General features: G+C 42.5%; 1 protein-coding gene across 11 annotated transcripts in view, besides 1 other annotated feature; it reads right to left on the bottom strand.

The window, feature by feature from the left end:
* The window catches only part of FAT3 (FAT atypical cadherin 3), a 671,656-nt gene that overhangs the window by 127,418 nt on the left and 520,961 nt on the right, over nt 1-23,277 (bottom strand). For 9 of the 11 annotated variants that reach the window (XM_017017179.3, XM_017017178.3, XM_017017180.2 and 6 more), the window contains 3 exons: nt 6,886-7,200; nt 3,967-4,177; nt 3,481-3,549 (listed from right to left, as the gene is read on the bottom strand). In XM_017017179.3, coding sequence (XP_016872668.1) covers nt 3,481-3,549; nt 3,967-4,177; nt 6,886-7,200 — 595 coding nt within the window. The remainder of the gene's footprint in view (nt 1-3,480; nt 3,550-3,966; nt 4,178-6,885; nt 7,201-23,277) is intronic. The other 2 variants (NM_001367949.2, NM_001008781.3) reach the window with 1 other exon arrangement.
* Nucleotides 2,879-3,173: a silencer, noted in NCBI's record as "tiled region #7264; K562 Repressive non-DNase unmatched - State 24:Quies". NCBI's record gives its function as "represses a minimal TATA promoter and a strong SV40 promoter by Sharpr-MPRA in K562 cells {active_cell/tissue: K562}" and the evidence as "EXISTENCE:reporter gene assay evidence [ECO:0000049][PMID:27701403]".

The raw sequence follows: 23,277 nt of genomic DNA, 5'->3' as shown, positions 1-23,277 counted from the left end.
GCAGTTAAGCAAGAATTGGCTAGATTTGGAAATGCAGAAATGGGGCGACTTTACTCTCAGGGGAAAAGCATGCTGAAACACTATTTCTGCTCACTTAATGAGAATTTATTAGTTATAGCATTAGTAAGCTGTAAGTGTCATGCCAAGATGATGTCTTCTCTGTAACTCAGTGTCTCTTTAGGTGTCTGCAAGCACTGGGTCTATTAATGGAGCCAAATTCTCACTCCCTTGGAAGAGTCATAGAGTATTTACCTAGGCAAGGCCCATACTTATATCTGAGACCTCATTTCAGATCCATGCTGATATTACATACCTAGTGCCTATTCCAGGCATTCACTGCTATGTTTCTTAAGCATTGAGGCGCATTGTTCCCTCTTTCCTCTGTATGTTAGCTTGGCCAAAAAAGATGCTTACGTAAGGAGGAAGGGAACAGAGAGATGAGAGTTTCCATGGCTGAAGATAAATAAGCAGGAAATCTTGAGAGCGAGACTAAAACATCTGAATATGATAAAGGAAACAATAGGTATTTAAAGAAGGGGAAAGATGTTGTCAGCAGATTGAGAAAAAATGACTCTGATGGATTAGAAAGATTTTCAAAAGGAGGATTTGGTGGAACGTGGACCATATCAATACTGAAGTAACCAGCACCTGGGAAAAGGATTTTACTTCTGCGCTGAAATAAAGATTTGGTGTTTCAAGATGTTGTTGGCTGGATGTGGGGATGGAAATAAAATCATGTTCTGTTTGGGCATCTGGCCCAGTAAGTTCAATTTGGAAAAGAAGCTTGGCTAGATGTTACCTGATTTACAGTGAAATCTCTGTGATGGAAGCATCCAGACCAGAGGGACAACCCTGTAGGTCCTCATTCAGAGACCTACAAGTGCACTGAAACTGAAGGCAGTCTCTAGGAAAAGTATAGCATTTAGAAATACACCAATGAAGAAACATGAAAACTGATGCCATGTTCTTGATGATGGATCCTGGGTCTATATTTAAGGTAGCTTAAAGGGACTCCTTCCAGGGAGAGCTCTCATCTGTAAACTGCCTCTCTCTTCTTGGACCAATGATGTTTCTATTTTGTCAAAGGTGCATAGTGTGTAGGTTGCCGTGGCCAGTAGCACAGTGGAAGGTCACACTGACTCTGAGTAGGTTCCAGGAGGCATCAGTAGGGTTAGCATAGTGGCTGCCTGGGGTATCTCCATCATTCACCATAGTTTATTCCACTCATCCTGGGTTGGTAGCAACAGAGGTTTTGGCAGGAGGAAGGAATGAGGACACATGGGCCTTAACCATAGGGGTTAAGAGTGGAGACAGGATAAGCACAAATGAAAACATACAGCAGCACTCATCATGCTGACATGAGAAACTTGCAAATCAGGTTACATGCAGTACTGCTAGGTATGCTTACCTACAGACAGTCACACACACACATGCAGGAATGATGAAGAGTTGCAAGCCTGACCTGGATAACTAGGGTCAGGCAGCTGGTGAGACTGACCATTACAGAAAGGCATGCCAGTAGGATTTCAAAAGCAGAGTACAAGTGAGGGCATCCCAGGGCACATGGGTGGTAGGTGGGATGTACTACGGGTCAGCAGGTTGAGTGCATGGATCATGCCAGGGAGAGATGTGACACTGTCAGGCTGTAGAGGTGCTTGGACACTGGAGTGTTCAAGGAGGAGGGAGAAAAATCAGTGGCTGATGAGAAAGGGCAACTCATCTAATCTCAGGACAGCACACTAGACATTCTGTTGCCTATTCGGTTTCTGCTGCATTCTCCTTTAGGCTTTTTTTTTTTTTTTTTGAGACAGAGTCTTGCTCTGTTGCCCAGGCTGCTGGAGTACAGTGATGCAATCTTGGCTCACTGCAACCTCCACCTCCCGGGTTCAAGCAATTCTCCTGCCTCAGCCTCCCCAGTAGCTGGGATTACAGGCGCCCGCCATCATGCCCAGCTAATTTTTGTATTTTTAGTAGAGATGGGGTTTCGCCATGTTGGACACGTTGGTCTCGAACTTCTGACCTCAAGTGATCCACCCACCTCAGCCTCCCCAAGTGTTGAGATTACAGGCGTGAGCCACTGTGCCCGGCTAAAAATCACTATTGCACATGTCTCTGGACACCTGGCACTAAGGGCACGTGTAAGAACTGAATTGCACTTTCTGTGACTCTGGGGGTGGAAGTGAAGAAATCATTAAAGGTGACTGTACAGAAAACCAGACCATGACTACGTGCAACCCTTTGTGGTGCCAAGAAAGAAGAAACTGCATCAGATAATATCTTAATGAGCTGAAAATTACTAAGAAGATAAAGAAATGGAGACCCCTTTCATGGATCAGAAGAAGTTTCATTTCAAATATGTTGAGTAGCAATGAAGAAAGAAGTGAAAGCTTGCTGTGAGGATGCCCATGTACACGATGGCATGATTAATACCAAGTAAGTAAAACAAAAATGTTCCACCATCATTTCATCAAATGAAACACGTAGAAAACAGCTCTTTGCTTTTTTGGAAGTTCAGAGGACTCTCTATAGAGGTTTGACTGCGGGCCATGGGGCGTTCTTTTTCTGTGCCTTGTTAAAACCGCTGTGGAACTTTCTAAATGCTTTTCCCAAGTACAGCCATTCCTGGGGGGGAGAGGCAGGTTCCTGCCCATCCTATCCAGGCAGTGCCATGGGGAAGGAAATGATTCCCCCAGACCGACTCTCTCCTGGATCCCCTGCCTCCCACAGAGAAGCGTGGGAAGTCAGCTTTAGCTCAACCCAGTGTCGGATTGGGCGACACACACTCTCCCCTCTGTTTTAGCAACAGCCTGTTTTGTTTCCTGGTCCTCGGCACTCATTTCCTCTCCAGCGCCTCTCCCTGCTGGTTTGTCAAGGGCCATAGGGCTGTTTTGCCCTTTCCTTTTGCAGCCTGGCGTGCTTGCTTGCTTTCTTTCAAGGAATTTAAAGGTTGGCTCCCAGGGTCTATCCTGCATGCTTCCATCTGCTTCCTCTATTCGGCTTGCGGGGGAGGCTGACTGGCTATATATCTAGGTTCCATTTCCTGCCCTTCCTCTTATGGACGACAGCCAGGGGACTCTCCTGATGGGGCTTTTGGTGCATGAATGGTACTACCGCTGCAAAACAGAGGGGCTGAAATACATTTTAATTTCTTTTTCCATTGGAAAAGGCCCAGTTAAATAAACCAACCTACAAAAAGATAAAAACAAAACAACAAAAAGCCCACATACCTCAAAAGCAAAGAAATAAAAGTCAAAACAACCCCCCCCTCAAAAAAAATCCAAACCCTATCAAACCTCAAACAAAGAAGTCATTGGATACGAGTAATGCAATAGTTGTTAGAGGCATATATGAAATCTGTGGGCTGCACTTCAGCCTGTCACAGGCAGTTATGAAAGATGTAATTCAATTTGCTTTAAAAAAAAACCGTAAAAGGCAGATTGGATAGCTGTATTTTAGCAAATGTGTTTGCACTAAGGGTACCTTCTGTTGAACAGTTCTGCCCACAAGCTGTCTGTAGAATATAGAACATCTCTCGAGCATGCTTGCCACCTTGAAGCAGGGCAGTCGGGAGCAGAAAAAAAAAAGAACAGAATGCAGAAAAAAGGTGAAGAAAAAGAGAGAAATGAAGGACAGCAAGTCTAGTACCATCAATACATTTAGAAATGAGATTAGCCAAGTGTGACAATAGAATTTAAATGACACACAGAAAGACATTAAGATTGCAGTAAATAACGTACTATGGAAAATCCAGCCAGAGAGCACTTTCGGTTCAGCTTAGCTACAGAGTTGGAACGAAAGCACAGGTCGATTATTCACTTTACTGGCTCTTTTGCATTCCAGCACTATACATCTTTTAATCTTGGCACTAATTGTTAGTTTTTTGCTTTCTTTCTTTTTTTTTTTTTTCCTAGTTGCTTCAGTCAATTATTACATTGCATGATACTGCTCTGTAAGACTCGAACTTACCAACTATGTCAAACCACAGAGGGGTGTTAGCTGGCTGCACAGACACCACCCCTACAATTTCAGTCACTCTATCACTTTCCATGACTGTGAAGTTATAAAACGGCTCATCGAAGGTCAATGGTATAGGTGAAGGGGGTGGTTTCTTAATCCATTCAATGTGGAGGCGGGCCGTGGAGGATTTCTGTGGGCGCCCATTGTCCACTGCCTTTATCTACTCACACAGGGAGAGAAGAGAAAGATGTCTCAGACCTCTGATTGTTGTAGAGTTTGGATCTGTCACTCATGTTGCTGGGCCAAGAGTCCATCTTCAACACAGTGTCAGCAAGGGGAAGAAAGGAGCAGAGGTCTGGGGAGTAAAGACTTGGGAATGGAGGGGAACAACCCAGTCATGTGCAGACCTTGCACCATGTTTGCCAGAGGCTCTCTGGACCACAGTCAACTTTACAGATATTGAGACCTTGAAAGACAAATGCTGCACTTACAGTTTGTGGTGATTTGTGGGCCTGAATAATAGTTATATGAATAGAAATAGCTAATTTGATTCCTGAGAGCATGATCCTAAGCCTCACCTCTGGTGGTGATATGTGAAAGGGAAGAAAGTGCATTGTGAAACCTTATATATGTGTGAATGATACGTGCAGAAGTGTGTGTGTGCATGTGTATGTGTGTGGTTGTGTTTTGCAGTGTGTGGTTGTGTTTCGCAGCTCCTCCCTTCTGCTATATGTGATTGATAGCAGCACAGGATCCCAGGAGCAAGATAGAGTGGGCTGGGAAAGGGAGCAGCCTGGAGCTAGCTGCCTTGAGGCCCTTCAGTTTTGCCACCTGCAAAAAGGTAACAGAGAACTCTCTCGATAGCACAGTCCCTGGAGGCAGCGTGGAAGGGAAGACAGGGCTAATGACTCTCCTCTGTGGTCACAATTAGCTGATATAAGGGCTGAGGAAGCAAGTCTCCCTCCCCAGCTGGGCAGGGTGAAGAGTCCAGGTGAACCCTGGACTCAAATGGGAGGGTCAAAAGCTTCAAGAAGCAAAAGCCAAAGCAAAACAAAAATAAAAATAAATTTTTAAAAGGACTTTCAAGTATTACATTTAAAAAATAACATTTATAGGAACATAACTGATAGCTATAGCCCTTCGAAACAGTGACAATGCATAGCACCCTCATGCTATGTGTTCATGGATGATTGCTTTGCCCTAGAAACTCCCTGCGGGGTGAGAAAACTTGAGGATACATGTCTTAAGCCAGGTTCCCCCAGGAGCTAAGACAGGCATTTGAGTACAAATGGTTTTTTTTGGTGGGGAAGTGCTCTCAGGAGAAAGAGAATAGAGATCAGGGTGGGCAGGGTAGGAGTTAAACCAGGATGTGGTCCTGGCTGACCAGAGGGATCCCATGGGGAGCTCTGAACCATTAATTGCACCAGAATTGAATCCACTTTGAGGCAAGGGGATTGGACTTTTGCATCTGGGTGTCAGTCAGCCAGTGGCTGTGGGCTGCTAGACTGGAGGCTGGGAATGTAGACTCTCTTTCACCAAGAATCATCCAAGGATGATTCTCTGGAGAACAGGGCAGCTGTGAGCCATTGACAGCCAATACTTGCAGTCTGAGAATGGGATTGGGGCAGGACACCAACAGTATCCACTTGAATCTATCCAGTCCTCAGATTCCCAAACTGCAAGTCTCACATAGCTGCAATGGCACACAGCACATCAGAGCTTCTAACAGTAGATACAGAGCTGGTGTTTTACTATATTTTTTTTCTCTGCCCACTGTTCTGGACACATAACCGAGCACAGCAAGGAGCCCACGTCTAGACCACAGGAGAGAAAGGATAAATCAAGGGACTCAGGCCATCGTTTAAAATAATAAAGGACAGACCTAGCAGAGAAGGATAAAGACAAAGAAAAGAGTGGTGGATGGTGCCTTTTTTTTTTTTGAGACAGAGTCTTGCTCTGTCACCCGGGCTGGAGTGCAGTGGCGTGGTCTTGGCTCACTGCAACCTCTGCCTCCCGGGTTCAAGCGTTTCTCCTGCTTCAGCCTCCTGAGCAGCTGGGATTACAGGCACACACCACCATGCCCAGCTAATTTTTTATATTTTTGGTAGAGACGGGGTTTTACCATGTTGGCCAGGCTGGTCTCAAACTCCTGACCTCAAGTGATCCGCCTGCCTCGGCCTCCCAAAGTGCTGGGATTACAGGCATGAACCACCGTGACTTTGTTGGGACCCTGGACCATGCTCATTGCTCGTAAGGATACCAGCTGCCTTTCTGGAATAGGTACTACCTGGCTAAAGTGGTTGGGATCAGGGGAGCACACTGGCACTGTAGATACAGGAGCTTTAAGTTTCTACATGACATGGTGCCCGTGCTTGTTTTTACTTTTCTAATTTAATAAAAAATTCAGTCACTTTATACTTGAGTTTTTTCAGTTTTTATGGAATAAACATCATTGTGATTTGTGTCTCACAATTTACACAGCTATATCCATGCTCTATCACATTGTTGATAATTTCAAAAGTTGTTTTCTATGGGAAGTCTCGGGGACATGTTGAGAGATATGTTCAGTGGTGGGTAGGATGTGTTGCCCTGCTGTTCCCCTACCGCTAGTTTGCATCTATGTTCAGCACTTTGAGGATGATTTAGGGCTGCAGAAAGAGTGGTTGAGTATGTGGTGAAACAGGCTGTGGCCTGGGAATGGGGGAAAATGCTGACAGGACACAACCAAAGGAAATTGTCTCGTCATTTAAGAATATCAATGAAACAGGCAAGAGTTCTCACCTGCACTTGCCTCCCAGAAAGAACCCTTCCACAGCTGTGTGGCTTCACTTTTTACTCTAAAGATTTATTGCTCAAAGGAGTATACTTGAATAAGAACATAACCACTTCCCCCCATCTGCTGTGCTGCTGGAGTTTGGAAGATCTTACCGTTAGGATGTCATAACTGCCTGCTGTAAACTGCTTTCTAGAAGAAACCATCCCAGTTTTAGGGTCAATAAAGAACTTTCCGTCATCATTCCCATCCACAATACTGTAGGAGATTTCTGCGTTGGGGCCCTCATCTCTATCAAATGCAAAAGCCCTGTAAATCGGTTCTCCTCTCTTCTTTCGGTCACGTTCTGGCAGCTTGATCTGGTAGACCTTCTCTGGGAACTGGGGCTTGTTGTCATTTTCATCTAGAACCTGAACCACCACCCAAATGGTTGACTGTTTTGGAGAGGGACCACCATCTGTCACAGTCACCTGAAAAAGAGAGTATGATGTGATCAGAAAGGAGAAAATTATTCTTGCTATTACATGTTAACCTATGGGTGTTTCTTCTAATGCACGGACAATGCTATCCTATCCAAATTCTTTTAGTATTCATTTTCTTCTCTTTTTTCATCTTTCTATAGATTGAATTGTGTCCCCCTTAAAATTCATATATTGATGCTCTAACTGCCCATATGTGGTTATTAAGGTTAAATGAGATCATAAGGATTGAGTCCTGATCTGACAGAACTCATGTCCCTATAAAAGACAAAGAAACACTAGAGATCCCAATCTCTCTCTGCCATGTGAACACACAAAAGAAGGTAGCTGTCTGCAAGCCAGGAAGAGAGCCCACACCACAAAATGAGCCCTGCTGGAATGTTGACCTTGGACTTTCCAGTCTTCATGCTATAGTCTGAATGTAACCCTTCAAAATTCATATGTTAAAACCTAATTTCCAATGCAATAGTATTAGGAGGTGGGGCCTTTAGGTGGTGATTAGATCATGAGGATCAAACCCTCATGAATGGGATTAGTGCCCTTCGAAAGAGGCTGTGAAGGCTTGCTTTTCCCTTCCACCATATGAGGACATGACCAGAAGGCACCATCTAGGAGGAACAAGCTATCACTAGACACTGAATCTGCTAGTGCCTTGATTTTAGACTTCCCAGCTTCCAGAATTGTGAACAATAAATTTCTGTTATTTAAGCCATCCAGCCTATGGTATTTTATTACAGCAACCAGAGCAGACTAAGACACATCTCCATGTTAAGATTTGATTTTTACATTGTCATTGAACAAAAGGAAAACTATGATATATGTTCCACTGTTTGATGTCTGATTTTAAGTACATTACAATGTCTTTAACAATTGCAAAATATTTTTCTATTTCTCTCTGGAAAATGGGAGGGGGATGTACACCTCTCTCCATGTCACTATGATGCTGTTCTCATGTGTGCCTGTGAAAATTGAGATAGAAAAGAGTAATGAAGAGCACATACATAATTTTCACAGAATATATAGACTTTGCATCCTAGTGTAAATAATTTTCTTATTAGTCATAGTGATAATCAGTATGATATTAACACCTAACATGTCGATAGTGTGGCACAGTTTATAACGCACTCTTTCATGCATTATCTCATTCACTTTCCAAAATATCCTCTTCAGTAAGTGAAGCAGGTTTATTTATTCCCATTTCACAATTGAGAAAACAGAGGCTCAAAACAGATCATTGTTAATAAGTGGTAAAGCTAGGTATTAAACTTTTGGAAATTGTTAATGTTCTGTTTAACAAAAAAAGGAAGAACCCATATTTAATCTTTAAATCATTAGCTTGAATGAAACAGATTATTACTTCCATATATGTACTTGGAGGCTGGAAGGAACATAAAGATGCGCTCAACATCAATAGGAGAAAAACAACAGTGAATCAAAGCAGCTGGTCAGCTATTTTTTCACCTAATAAAACAACCTGACAGGTATAACTGAAACAAAGGCCAAAAATGTGGGAAAACACATTAAAGCCTTTTTGCAAAATGGAATTGCAATCTAGTTTAGTTTCTCTTACAAGCTGCCTAGGAGGATAGCTTTAATAGACTTAAGATAAATTTTCACACAAGTTCTCGCTTTCTTTGAAAAATCAATCAAGTTTCCTTCCAAGGTTATTTTCCCAATTGCTTTGTTGTGTTTCACAAAAGAACCACATTGGGACCAAAATGTGCCAAGGTTGGATTTTGACTCTTGAGCTAATTCCTTGACATGCCAGTTCTGAAGAGGCACATTCTGCTGCTGCTGGTGAACGCAAATGTTACACTCCCAGGTGACCTGTGTTGACCAAACATATTGATTTCTTGGCTGCTCAACTACTCTGCCTCTCTTTTCTGCTTGAGAAGCCTGTCCAAATTCAGACAACTCTCAATGTCTTCATCGTGCACAAAATCACCTCCTTGTCAATTAATGCCCTGCAATGGGCTCTGAGACAGTGTTCTGGAGCTGCTTCAGGGACAGGTGGCTGCCAGGGAAAGGAGCCCCTCTTGGCAACAGTTCGCTGCTCACTAGAGGATGCTGCTGCTATAAAATGTTTTTCTTTGAAACGGACCTGGATTTACAAACCCAAATCCTTGAGGTGTCTACCTACAGGCGGGAAGTGTGGTAGCTGCACAGCCCTTGAAGAATCTCTCAGGAGTGCTACGCATAGCGGGTCACTCGTCATCATGTTACTGCAAGCACCCAGCTCCCTCAGGCCATAAGGGCATCCTTCAGGTCCTCTTTTCTTTGGAGAGCTGTCCCTATCCTTTCTGTGGAGCTTGCCTACTCACCCTTTAAGTCCAGCTGAAATGTCACTTCCTTAAGGCTACCTTCTCTGACCCCACAGACCAAGTGCCAGCTTTCCCGCCCCCTCATTCTGTACTGTTAAATCACCCTATGCTTTTCTTTTGTAGCACTTACCATTGTGGAAATTAATTAAATACATGATTCTCCACTTAAGTGGATAAACTGCATAAGGGCAAAGACAGACTGTGCTTGTTTTCTCACTGCTCTCACCCCTGTGTCAAGCCACAGAACACGCTCCATTCATGCTTATTTAATAAATGAGGCTCTAATGCAGGTCCTACTTGAACAGTCTCTTTAGCCAAATCAGTCTCACCTTGCAAAACCTTCTGAGATGGTTCAAGGGCCTTAACAACATAGCTCCAATCTGCTTTTCCTGCCTTTTTGCCAATTACTCCTCCATCTCCTTACCCATGGTTTCATCTACTACCTACATGCTGCTAATTCTCCAATGTGTATCTCTTGTGCCTAAGCCTATTTCCTGATCACCAAACCAACATGATCAACTATTTACTAGTAATCTACTTTCTGGATCCTAGCACCCCAAAAGTCACAAACTGAAATCAATACCCTCAAACCTCCTCCTTTTCCTATGTCCATTGTCTTAATAAATGGCACCCCTATCTACTCACACACTGGTGCACACTAGAATCCTAGGCATCCCTCTGTCTAACTATCTATATCCAATTGAACTTGGGGACCAACAGGTATCTCACACACACCCCTCACCCCATGCCAACTCTTCTGTCACACTGCCCTATTACAGACCCCCCTTGCATCTTGCTTGGATGGCCACAGTAGCCTCCTGGCCTCCCTGCCTTCAGCCTTTGCCTTTGTTGTAGAGTGATATTTCTTCTTCAAAAATCTGATCATGTCGCTGATTTGCGTAATACTCTTCAGGGGCTCCTTGAGGACAAAGATCTGGCTGGATTCTCTCTGCATCTGGCTTTGTTGATCAGCCTGTACTGTCTGCCTCTTTCTCATCTCTATGCTCAGTTACATGGTGAGCTTGGGAGGTCCTGAGCATGCCATGCTCTTATAGCTCCATTCCTTTGCACAGCCATTTGTCTTCATGGAATGCCCTCTCCTGGGAATATACCTGACTCATTCTAGAAGCCTCAATCCAAACATTCCTGTAAAGCCATTCCCTGCCTCCTGCAGACCTATGTAGGTGCCCTTAGTATGTTTCTATGCCACTATGTGTATAGTTCTAGGACACTAATTATCATCCTGCATTTTAAGTGTCTATTTGCTTGTTGATCTCCATTCAATCCTTCTAGACTGTGAGCAATTTGAGGTCAAGAGAACTGTCTCTTATTCATTGTTATGTTCTGGCACCTGGTACAGCTCTAAGTGACAAATATTCTATGAAATCAAGAATTCACTTACCTACAACTCTTCCCTATGATAATAAGTGAAAAGAACATTCAGACACTGAGGGTCTCTGTATGAAAATTAACATATAATCTCCCAAGTGCTTCTAGTGTTATGATTCTACTCATGGGGGGTCAGCTAGAGGTGGACAGTTTTAACCATGCACTCTGAGGTTCATACCCAGTTTACATAACTGAGAACACTACCAATCTAAAGATTATGAAGATAATGCAGAATGATTTTTAGCCACTCCTCAAACTGTGCTCACTTTTGTGGACATTCATCCAGTCTCCTGAAATGATTTATTCCCATGTCTGTCTCCTTCAGTGCACTGTGAGCTACTCAAAAGCAGGAACCTTGTCTTTTTCATCCTTTTCTGAAACCTAGTGTCCTCTGGATAAATGTTTGCTGAACTGAACTACACTGCTAACCTCAAAGTCTGAATTTTCATTATTATTTCTCTGGACCCATTCATCTGCCCTGCCACATTTGTGCCTGGAATATTAATCAACAATGATTAATGGAATCATCAATGGCATCATCAATCATTCCATCAGATTCTCAGACTTCAGACTTCATAATACGTTAGGCCTGAAACCTCCCTTCGAATTAGCCCATATGAAAGGAGTAGCAGCAGTGAAGATCAAAGCAAAACTAGCTGAGATAAATCCCCATCATCTCCTCTTCTGCATCATTTCTTATTAAGGATGCAAGAAACGCACCATTGTTTAGAAGTGACCCGTGTGTACTCTCGCTCTGCTACAGCCTCACAAAAGAACAGAGAACCATCCTCACCTAGATTTTCTGCTCTTATTGCCAATCAATAATCAGTGGTGCTGGCAATTAATCCAAAGCCTGAAAGATTAATTTCTTTAGATGATAACAGCTATCACCTAATAAAAGGAGCCACAAATAGGCCGGGTGCAGTGGCTCATGCCTGTAATCCTGGCACTTTGGGAGGCCGAGGTGGGCGGATCACCTGAGGTCGGGAGTTCGAGACCAGCCTGACCAACATGGAGAAACCCTGTCTCTACTAAAAGTGCAAAATTAGCTGGGCATGGTGGCACATGCTTGTAATTCCAGCTACTCAGGAGGCTGAGGCAGGAGAATTGCTTGAACCCGGGAGGCGGAGGTTGCAGTGAGCTGAGATCGCGCCACTGCACTCCAGCCTGGGCAACAAGAGCAAACCTCTGTCTAAAAAAAAAAAAAAAAAAAAAAAAAATGGAGCCACAAATAGTTCATTGGTCTGTGAATGCCAGGCAGAGCCAGGAGGCAGGACAATTACAAAACAGGACAATTACAACAAGAAACATGTCTTTAAGTCTATTCCTGGAAGAAACAAGAGCTTCGTAGGACCAAAAATGGTCAGACACTGAGAATTTTGAAGTTATGGAAGCTGGTGGGAGGGCACACTTCTCACTCACTGAAATTGCCTGATGAATTTATTTTTGTTGTCTCCTTTCCCCAAGTAGAAGATAAGTATATAAACTGCCTAAAAGCGGAGATCTTGGATCTTGTCTACTGCCTTGTTCCCAGTGATTACAAGAGTGTCTAAGAATATATTCAATATTTTTAAGCCGAAGAGTTAAACTCTGGCATTTTCCTTATCCATTAATTCACCACAAATGATTATTTCCAGGCTATTGTATTTATAATGGAAAATCATTCTTCAGATATTACATATCCCCCTCCCCTGTTTTATACAGTGGTCTGCTCCTATCTTTGGATTTACTTTCCACAACTTCAGTTACCTGTGGTTCAGCACAATAAGCTATTTTGTGAGACAGAGATCAATCACATAACTTTTATGACAGTATATTGTTATAACTCTTCTACATCATCATTGTCATTGAACTCTTACTGTGCCTAATTTATAAATTAAGCTTTGTCATAGGTATGTATGTACAAGAAAAACGATAGCATATATAGGGTTTGGTATTATCTGCAGAGTTTCAGGCATCCACTGGGGATCTTGGAACATATCCCCTATGGAAAAGGGGCAACTACTTTATTGGTCCTTGACACTTTATCGTTACCTAATATGTTATATATTTCACTTACGTGGTTATCACATATCTGCTTTTACTAGAACCTGAGCTCCACAGAGAATGAATTTTCATCTATTTTGTTCAGACATATTCCTAGCATCTACAACAGTGCCTAGAATGTAGTAAGAATTCCATAAATATTTGTTGAATGAATAAATGAAATATTTATCCAGTACCTTTTAGGTAACAAACTCTTTTTTAGGCAAACTGGGAGATCAACCAAATAACCAACCGACGAACACAGATTCTGACCAAATTCACAATCCCCCATGACCTAAATCCTCTGTAATATCTGGGACCTGCAATCACATGGCCTCAATTTTGGTATATTTGGTAAGAGGAACTCAGTGCCCTGTTTAGCAGCCCATTTGTGGTTTGATAGATTCAATTTTCAGAAAGCTCTACCTAATTTTTTTAGTTGACAAATAAAAATTGCAAATACTTATGATATACAACATGACGTTTTGATATATGTATACACCTCGGAATGGCTAAAACAGGTTAATTAACGTATATATTACCTCATGTAACTTTTTTTGTGGTGAGAAGACTTAAAATCTACTCTCTGGCAGGGTGTAGTGGTTCATGCCTGTAATCCCAGCACTTTGGGAGGTGAAGGCAGGTGGATCACCAGAGGTCAGGAGTTCGATACCAGGCTGGCCAACATGGTGAGACCCTGTCTCTACTAAAAATACAAAAAATTAGCTGGGCATGGTGGTGCGTGCCTGTAATCCCAGATACTCGGGAGGCTGAGGCAGAAGAATCACTTGAACCCAGGAGGCAGTGGTTGCAGTGAGCCAAGATCACACCACTGCACTCCAGCCTGGGCAACAGAGTGAGATTCTACCTCAAAAACAAACAAACAAACAAACAAAAACTACTCTCTTAGCAATTTTAAAGTATACAATATATTGTTATTACCATTAGTATAATCACCATGATGTAAAACAGACCTCTTCAACTTGCCTCCTGCCTAACTGAAATTTCGTATCCTTTGATCAACATCTCCCCATTACCAATCCCTCCTGTCTCCTCTATCACCTCTAGTAACCACTATTCTATTCTCTGCTCTTATAAATTTGACTTTTTTACATTCCACATATTTGTGAGATCATGTGGCATTTATCTTTCTATTTGAGTTAACATAATGTTCTTCAAGTATATCCACGTTTCCATGTTGTCACAAATGACAGGATTTCCTTCTTTATTATTATTATTATTTTTTAGATCAAGTCTCGCTCTGTTGCCAGGCTGGAATGCGGTGGCGCAATCTCCACTCACTGCAACCTCCCCCTCTCAGATTCAAATGATTCTCCTGCCTCAGCTTCCGGAGTAGCTGGGATTACAAGTGCACACCACCACGCCCAGCTAATTTTTTTTTTTTTTTTTTGTATTTTTAGTAGAGACGGGTTTTCACCATGTTGGCCAGGATGGTCTCTATCTCCTTTTTTTTTTTTTTTTTTGAGGCAGAGTCTTCCTCTGTCGCCCAGGCTGGAGTGCAATGGTGCTATCTTGGCTCACTGCAAACTCCACCTCCCAGGTTCACGCCATTCTCCTGCCTCAGCCTCCCGAGTAGCTGGGACTACAGGCACCCGCCACCATGCCTGGCTAATTTTTTTTTGTATTTTTAGTACAGACGGGGTTTCACTGTGTTAGCCAGGATGGTCTCGATCTCCTGACCTCGTGATCCGCCCGCCTCGGCCTCCCAAACTGCTGGTATTACAGGCGTGAGCCATCGCGCCCGGCCGATTTCCTTCTTTTTAAAGGCTGAATAGTATTCCATTGTGTATATATACAAACATAGTCTTCATGCATCTGTTGATGGACAGTTACGTTGTTTCCATATCTCAAGTGTTGTGAATAGTGCTGCAATGAGCATGGAAATGCATACTTCTTTTCTTGTTTTTATATAGGAAAATATTGTCTTTATTTTTTAAATATATTTTTTAGTATTATATTTCCATATGTTATTGGGGTACAGGTGGTATTTGGCTACATGATTAAGTTCTTTAGTGGTGACTTGTGGGATGTTGGTGCACCCCTCACCTGAGCAGTATACATTGCACCATATTTGTAGTATTTTATCCCTCCTCCACCTTCCCCCAAGTCCTCCAAATACATTGTATGCCTTTGCATCTTCATAGCTTAGCTCCCACATATCAGTGAGAATATACAATGTTTGGTTTTCCATTCCTGAGTTACTTTACTTAGAATAATAGTCTTCAATCTCATCCAGGTTGCTGCAAATGCATTCATTTTCATGGCTGAGTAGTATTCCACCATATATATATACACACACACACACACACACACACACCACAGTTTCTTTATCCAAGACTTCTTTTCAATATACTGATTTTATTTCCTTTGCATGTAGACCCAGAGGTTGGATTGCTGGTTCATATGGTAGTTCCATTTTTAGTTTTTGAGGAACCTCCATACTATTTTCCATTATGGCTGTCCTAATTTACACTGGGAAAACAGTGTACAAGGGATTCCTTTTTTCCATATCCTCCCAACACTTTACACAAAGCTTTTCTTAACATTAAACCGAAATCTAACTGCCTGTACTTACTATCCTAGAGTGCTTGGAGCTTCCTATAGACTAGTTTTACTTGTTGTAGCTATACAGAAAAAGTCAAATTCCTCTTCCACGTTGCCCCAGCAACCTATTGTTGTGTAACAGAAAATTATGTGACTTAAAATAACTGGAATCTTTTTATTGTTTTTCATGGTTCTGGGGGTTGAATGGGGGCGGTTCTTATTTGGAGCCTCTCATGCAATTGATGTCATAGGTAGCTGGGGTTGTAGTCATCTGACATATCTGCTGGTTGATGATGGCTATTAGCTGGGACCTCAGCTGGGTTCTAAGAGCAACTGGCCTGAAGGAAAGTGGCAGCCATCAGTTTCTTAAGGCCTTGGCTCAAAAACTGGCACAGCATCACTTGTACCACATTCTACTGACCAAGAGTCTCAGAGTCCAGATTTAGGAGGTGGGGACATAAACCCCACCTCTAGATGGGAGGAGGGTCAAATAATTTGGGAGGCTATGTTTTAAAACTGCCATCCTTATAAAAATACTTAAATATATTTGAGAAATCTCAACCCAGGTTGAAAAACTAATTTGTATAATTATCTCTCAGATGATTTATTATATATAATGAGTCCTTATTTATTATATTGTTTACATCTTTCAAGATGTTTTCCCATATACCAGCTTCCTTCTTAAAATACGATGGCCAGGATAGAGCGATCGCATATTAAACTTACTCAGAACTGTGCAAAGCCCCTCTGTTATCCTAGAGACAATCTCACACCTATTTCTTCAGTCGATGACTATGCTTATTTTGGGTAGCAGCCATGTCACACAGCACTGTGATATCAATGAATTAAAGCATTTAGGTCTTTTCCTAGAAAAAGCAATATATAATATAATCACACCTGTAAGTGTGTGGTTTCCTTTTGCAGGTATAAGTGCAAGATTTTATATTTGTCTCTACTAAATTTCATGTTACTAGAAACTTTGGCTCCCTACCCTAGGCTGTTGGGATAATCATAATGATAACAGGTAACATGCATTAAAAGCTTGCTATGCATCAAGTACTCACTGTGAGATGCAGAGCCCTGCACGATCTCCTTTGTTACAACAATCTCACAAGATAGATACTGTTTTTACACCAATTTAACCAATAAGGAAACTGAATTATGAACTGGTTAAAGGTCACACTATTCTTAAGTGGCAGAGCCTTGTATAGTCAAAGGTCACACTATTCTCAAGTGGCAGAGCCTTGTTTTAAACCTGGCAGTTTTGGTTCTAAGCCAGGGATCAGCAAACTATAGCCCAAGGGCAAAATCTGTTTGCTTGTTTTGGTAAATAAAGTTTTATTGGAATGCAGCCATGCTGCAATAACATATTATCTATGGCTGCTTTCCTGCTACAAAGGCATGGTTGAGTAGTTGAGGCTGAGACTGTATGGCCCACAAAGTCTGTTAAGTGCCCTTAACAGAATAAGTTTGCTGACTCCTGGTCTAAAACATTATGTGCTGCTGCCTCTTTGGTTATACTGATAGCACTTATTGCACGCCTGCTTTGCTCAGTCCTCTGCTTGATCATTTACCTACGATTGTCACTTTTTCACAGGAATCCTGTAGGCATTGCCATTTCTATTCTGCAGCTGGAGACGGTGAGGCTTAGACGTTAAGAATATTCTCAAGGCCATTCAGCCGGAAAGTGACAGAACACGGGTTTGCGCCCAAGTCTGTTTGGCGTGGCAGCACGTGCTCTTTTCCCTACCCTGCGCAGCCCATGTAGAAGCATCTGTTAACCATCTGTTCAAAATTCCCTTCCCACGTGTGCCTTTGGATCAACATTGAGCACTTCGATGTGCTTCTAGAATCAAGCCTCCTTTTCCTCCTTTGATAATAGGGACCATCTTTGACTGGCTCCAGTCTTTTGGCACCTTTCTGTCCTCAATGCTTAAAAACTGCCACTGGGTTGTGGGGTATGGCTGCAACTTCTTTCAGCACTCAAGACTTGAGAACCTTATTTTGTGCAATTAGATCCTCTCTTACTATCTTGTTACATGGTTACATCATCAGCTCCCTCTCACAAAATTTGTTCTACCTTTCTTTGCACAAAAATTATTCTCCCTGATCATGGAGACGAGAGGGAGGGCCTGGGTGGTCTTGGTTTCTCTCTACGTCTTATTTATCAGGCACTCCGTGTTAACCACATGTAGGCACTCTTCCAAATGCTTAACAAATATTAACTCATGGATCCTTTTATCAGTCTTGGAGTAAGATGCGATTATTATCCCCACACGACAGATTAGAAACAGGGCACAGAAGGGTGAAGCATAGTAGGATCCAATCTGCTTTGGGGTCTGTGCTCCTAACCATCACATTATGCTGCCTTTCATCTAAATGCTTGCCCCACCCCATGGGCATGGCCACCTTTTCTTTCCTCTGAACACAGTTCAAACATGTCCTTTCCCTGGCCTCAGCACCACAGTTTCAGCATGTCCTGTGCAGGGATGGCAATTATACAGCATGTGGGCTTTGGCTGCTCTATCCTGCCAGCTGCACCTGGAGGCCACAGGAAACGTGAACAATTCACTGTTCATTCCAAAGGTGGAACGTGGTCTCAGACTCTTCCGAGATGGAGCTTTCCAGACAGCTGTCACTACCAATCAATCTGCCACTGTCTAGGCGTACTTCTTGTTCTAGGTGAAACAACCCAAATAGCACGTATTTTTACATTCATACTGGGGTTGCCTTTAGTAAATAAAATGTATAAGAGGCCATTGGCTTGAACTGAATGCCTGCACCAGGATCAACAAACCAAACCAAACCAAAATGGAGTCACGCATGCTAACGTTCCATGCTACCAAGCCAGTATTAAGTTGTTTATCTGACCTTCAGAGAAATCAGGAGAGAGAGAGAGAGAGAGAGAGAGAACAGCCAAATCCCCAGACAGGTCAGGTTTAACTGTAACAATAAGAAAGTCCCTTTGCTTTAACCTTTGTAACTTCGAAATGACTGATCTGCTTTCTGTTGTTTCTGCTTTCCTCAGCCATTTTCTGTCTATAAAGCCAAGCTCCTCTGCTCAGCTCATCAGAACATTCATTCTATTTTATGGAATAATATGTTGCCAGATTCTAGAATCACAAATAAAAGCCAACTAAAATCTTTAAACTAAATTTGTTGTAATTTTGTCAGTCAACACTGCATACCTTCCCCCTATCCTGACCATCCCCCGACTTCTTCCATAGTACTCTGCACCTTCCTTCACTCTGATTCTCCTGATTGCTGCGAGCTATTTTAGCACTTGATACTCTTCTAAGGTAGAAGACAGAGCTCAAAAGAGTTTTATTTCTCCCTCCCCCTCTCATTATCAAAAGTCTCAGGGCCAAGCTGACAGGTTCTGGGCTGGGAAGAAATCTAAAGATGAAGTCTTTTAAACTAAGGCAGAATATCCAACCACACGCAGCAAGAAGGCTTCCAATGTGCTGCCACATTGACCCTCTCAGCTCTCAGGTGAACGAATGTGAACTCATCTACATAGGCTGGTCATCTCTGGCTGGGATTAGCTTTTCCCTTTACCTAAAGATATTATACAAATATTATCATTTTCTGTATGTATCCTAATGGGTAAAATGTTAGGACGCCCTGTGATAAATTACTAATAATATGTTACCCTTCTCTTGGATCTGATTGATTTAAAACAATATGCCTAGAGAGGTCACTGGACCCTAGGAGCACAGTCTCTATGGGTAGGAATTTAATGTTGTGGCTGTTGAAAATTAATTGTAGTAAAGATGCTTATCTATTTTCACTATTTATTGACAAGACCCTGTAAATCACCAGTTATGTGTGCTTGGCTGTCTCTACTTACTGGTCACCACATAGGTAGAGAAATGTACGAAGGTACCCATCGTTGAGTATTTTCCTACCTCCGTCATAGTCTCATATGTCCCAAAGAACCCCAGGATAAAGGGAAACTGCCTTTCCTTACTTCTGTTATACTCAGGAAAGCATAGAGTCACTAGATGTTAAGAGAACTCAAGAGTAAATGAGAGCTTAGGTATCATTCTCGTTCAATCCATTTGTTTTACAGATGAGGAAACTGAGGTCCAGACAGATGTACTTCTTAGCCTAATATCATCTTATTAGAAATAACCTCAATCTTTCTAAGAGATTAGTTCCAAGCTGGCTTTTGAGCCTCAAACAAGGCTTGCATTCATAAATTGTCATCTATGTGTGTGTGTATGTGTGTGTGTGTATCTGTGTGTGTGTGTGCCTATTTGTGTATGTGTGTTAACTCGATATTGCAGAAGTTTTAATTTAGGTGTTTTCCAGAATGCTGAGCTCTTAAAAATAATAAAAAAGAGAAGAACTGCATTTAAAGTAGATGTAATGTTTACGCTCCACTTTTTATCTTCAAAATGTTTCACAAACCTTAAATACTTAAACCTTTCAAGATAGTAAAAAGGTTGAAAGAAACTTTATCTCCTCTTTACAGGTGGAGAAATAGAGAAATGACCTTCTCAAAGAATACTCAGGAGCTGTTATAAAGGTTGAGGCTGGAATTCAGACCTTTTTGTCTATGGTCTCAGACTACTGCATTCCTGGGAAGACAAGTGCTTCCTGCCATTTCTGGAAAGAAAAGTATACACAAACAGTAAATTAAAGGGTAGATCTCAAAGGAACAGCAACTCTTGAAGATAAACTTTCTGAAAGGTGAAGTCATTGAACTAAACTTAACTTGCGCTATCACCCACGGAGAAAAAGCAAAAGAAGGCAGTATTAAACTGTCTGCCCTTAATGTCATTACATGTGGTTTCTCTTATTTGACCTATGATTTGGTATTAAGAAATAAACCAGAGATGGATAGGTGTTCCAGTCACTCCCCACTCTGCTTTCCTCATTCTGTGATGCTTCAACACATGTCTCTGCTATTTCCAATCTCAGTAAATCAATTATTTCAGGAGATGTATACTTACTATGTTGAATAAACTTGTGGAATGGTTTATAAGGGAAAGTTTTCATCAGAAATAATATCAGAAATAAGGAAAAGAAAGAATGAGGGTTCAAAGGAAAGAAAGGAAGGAAGGAGAAGAAAGGAGAAAGGAAGAGAATTAAGGAAGAAAGAAAAAGAGAAAAACAGAATTAAAGAGTCATATGGTTTGGCTTTATCCCCACCCAAATCTCACCTTGAATTGTAATAATCCCCACATGTCAAGGGTGGGGCCAGGTGGAGGTAACTGAATCATGGGGGTGGTTTTCCCCATACTGTTCTCCTGGTAGTGAGTAAGTCTTATGGGATCTGATGGTTTTATAAATGGAAGTTCCCCTGCACAAGCCTCTAGCCTGCTGCCATGGAAGACACGGATTTACTCCTCATTCACCTTCCACCATGATTGTGAGACTGCCCCAGCCATATGGAACTGTGAGTCAATTAAACCTCTTTCCTTTATAAATTACCCAGCCTTGAGTATGTCTTCATTAGCAGCATGAAAACAGACTAATACAATAAATTGATGCCAGGTAGTGGGATGCTGCTGTAAGGATACCAAAAAATGTGGAAGTGACTTTGGAACTCAGTAACAGGCAAAGGTTGGAACAGTTTGGAGGGCTCAGAAGAAGAGAGAACAATGTGGGAAAGTTTGGAACTTCCTAAAGACTTGCTGAATGGGTTTGACCAAAATGCTGATGGCGATATGGACAATAAAGTCCAGGCTGAGGTTGTCTCAGATGGAGATGAGGGACTTTTTGGAAACTGGAGTAGAAGTCACTCTTGCTATGCAAAGAGACTGGTGGCATTTTGTCCCTGCCCTAGATGTCTGTGGAACTTTAAACTTGAAAGAGGTGATTTAGGGCATCTGGAAGAAGAAATTTCTAAGCAGCAAAACATTCCAGAGGAAGCAGAGCATAAATGTTTGGAAATTTTGCAGCCTAACAATGCGATAGAAAAGAAAAACCCAGTTTTTGGGAAGAAATTCAAGCCAGCTGCAGAAATTTGCACAAGTAATGAGGACCCAAATGTTAATCACCAAGACAATGGGAAAACGCCTCTAAGGGCATGTCAGAGGCCTTCAAGGCAGCCCCTTCCATCACAGGCTTCCTGGAGGCCTAGGAGGAAAAAATGGTTTTGTGGGCTGGGCCCAGGGTCCCCCTGCTCTGTGCAGCCTCAGGACATGGTGCCCTGCATCCCAACCGCTTCAGTGCCAGCCATGGCTAAAAGGGGCCAACATACAGCTCAGGCCATTGCTTCAGAGGGTGCAAGCCTTAAGCTTTGGCAGCTTATATGTGGTGTTGGGCCTGTGGGTGCACAGAAGTCAAGAACTGAGGTTTGGAATCTTCTGCCTAGATTTCAGAGGATGTATGGAAATGCCTGGATGTCCAGGCAGAAGTTTGCTGCAGGGGCAGGGCTCTCATGGAGAACCTCTGCTAGGGCAGTTCAGAAGGAAAATGTGGGGTTGGAGCCCCCACACAGACTACCCACTGGGGCACTGCCTAGTGGAACTGTGAGAAGAGGGCCACTGTCCTCCAAACCCCAGAATGGTAGATCCACCAACAGCTTGCACTGTGCACCTGGAAAAGCTGCAGACACAATGTCAGTCCATGAAAGCAGTCAGGAGGGAGGCTGTACCCTGCAAAGCCACAGGAGTGGAGCTACTCAAGGCCATGGGAGCCCACCTCTTGTATCAGCATGACCTGGATGTGGGACATGGAGTCAAAGAAGATCATTTTGGAACTTTAAGATTTAATGACTACCCTATTGGATTTTGGACTTGCATGGGGCCTGTAGCCCCTATGTTTTGGCCAATTTCTCCCATTTGGAATGGGTATATTTACCTAATACCTGTACCCCCATTGTATCTGGGAAGTAGCTAACTTGCTTTTGATTTTACAGGCTCATAGGTGAAGGGACTTGCCTTGTCTCAGATGAGACTTTGGACTGTGGACTTTTGAGTTAATTCTGAAATGAATTAAGACTTTGGGGGACTTTCAGAAATGCATGACTGGTTTTGAAATGTGAGGACATGAGATTTGGGAGGGCCCAGAAGTGGAATGATATGATTTGGCCATATCCCCACCCAAATCTCACCTTGAATTGTAATAATCCCCACATATCAACGGTGGGACCAGGTGGCGATAAATGAATCATGGGCGCGGTTTCTCATATATTGTTCTCCCAGTAGTGAATAAGTTTCATGGGATCTGATGGTTTTATAAATGAGAGTTCCCCTGCACAAGCCTCTAGCCTGCTGCCATGTAAGACATGGCTTTGCTCCTCATTTGCCTTCCACCATGATTGTGAGACCTCTCCCCAGCCATGTGGAACTTGACTTAATTAAACCTCTTTCCTTTATAAATTACTGAGCTTCAGTTACGCCTTTATTAGCAGCATGAGAACAGACTAATACAGAGTTTTCTCTGAACTGCCTTTAATAACTTACATTTTGCCTAAAAAGTTGTGCTTTTAGGAAAGAATACAATTTGAAAATGCTCAAACTGAAAATGCTCTGATCCATGGAACCAAGGGAACCTAGGCCTTGGGGCCAGTGAATCACGTTACTCATTTTGGTGAGCTTTCTCTTTGTCCAAAGACATTGCATTATTGGGAAGCACCAGGAGAAAGTCAGCTCATAATCCACCCTTTCCAGGTACCCATGATCTGTCTTCTGCAGGGCACTGATTCCTACAGGTGTGTGAGCCACTCCAGGGCCTACCACAGGACTACACATAGTTGGTTCTCAACAAATATTTGTTGGTTGAATGCATGCATGCATGGACCTTGCATTTCAGG

This window comes from Homo sapiens, chromosome 11 (assembly GCF_000001405.40).
Source record: "Homo sapiens chromosome 11, GRCh38.p14 Primary Assembly".
NCBI classification, from domain to species: Eukaryota; Metazoa; Chordata; class Mammalia; order Primates; family Hominidae; genus Homo; species Homo sapiens.
This window is presented reverse-complemented; position numbering and strand designations above follow the sequence as displayed.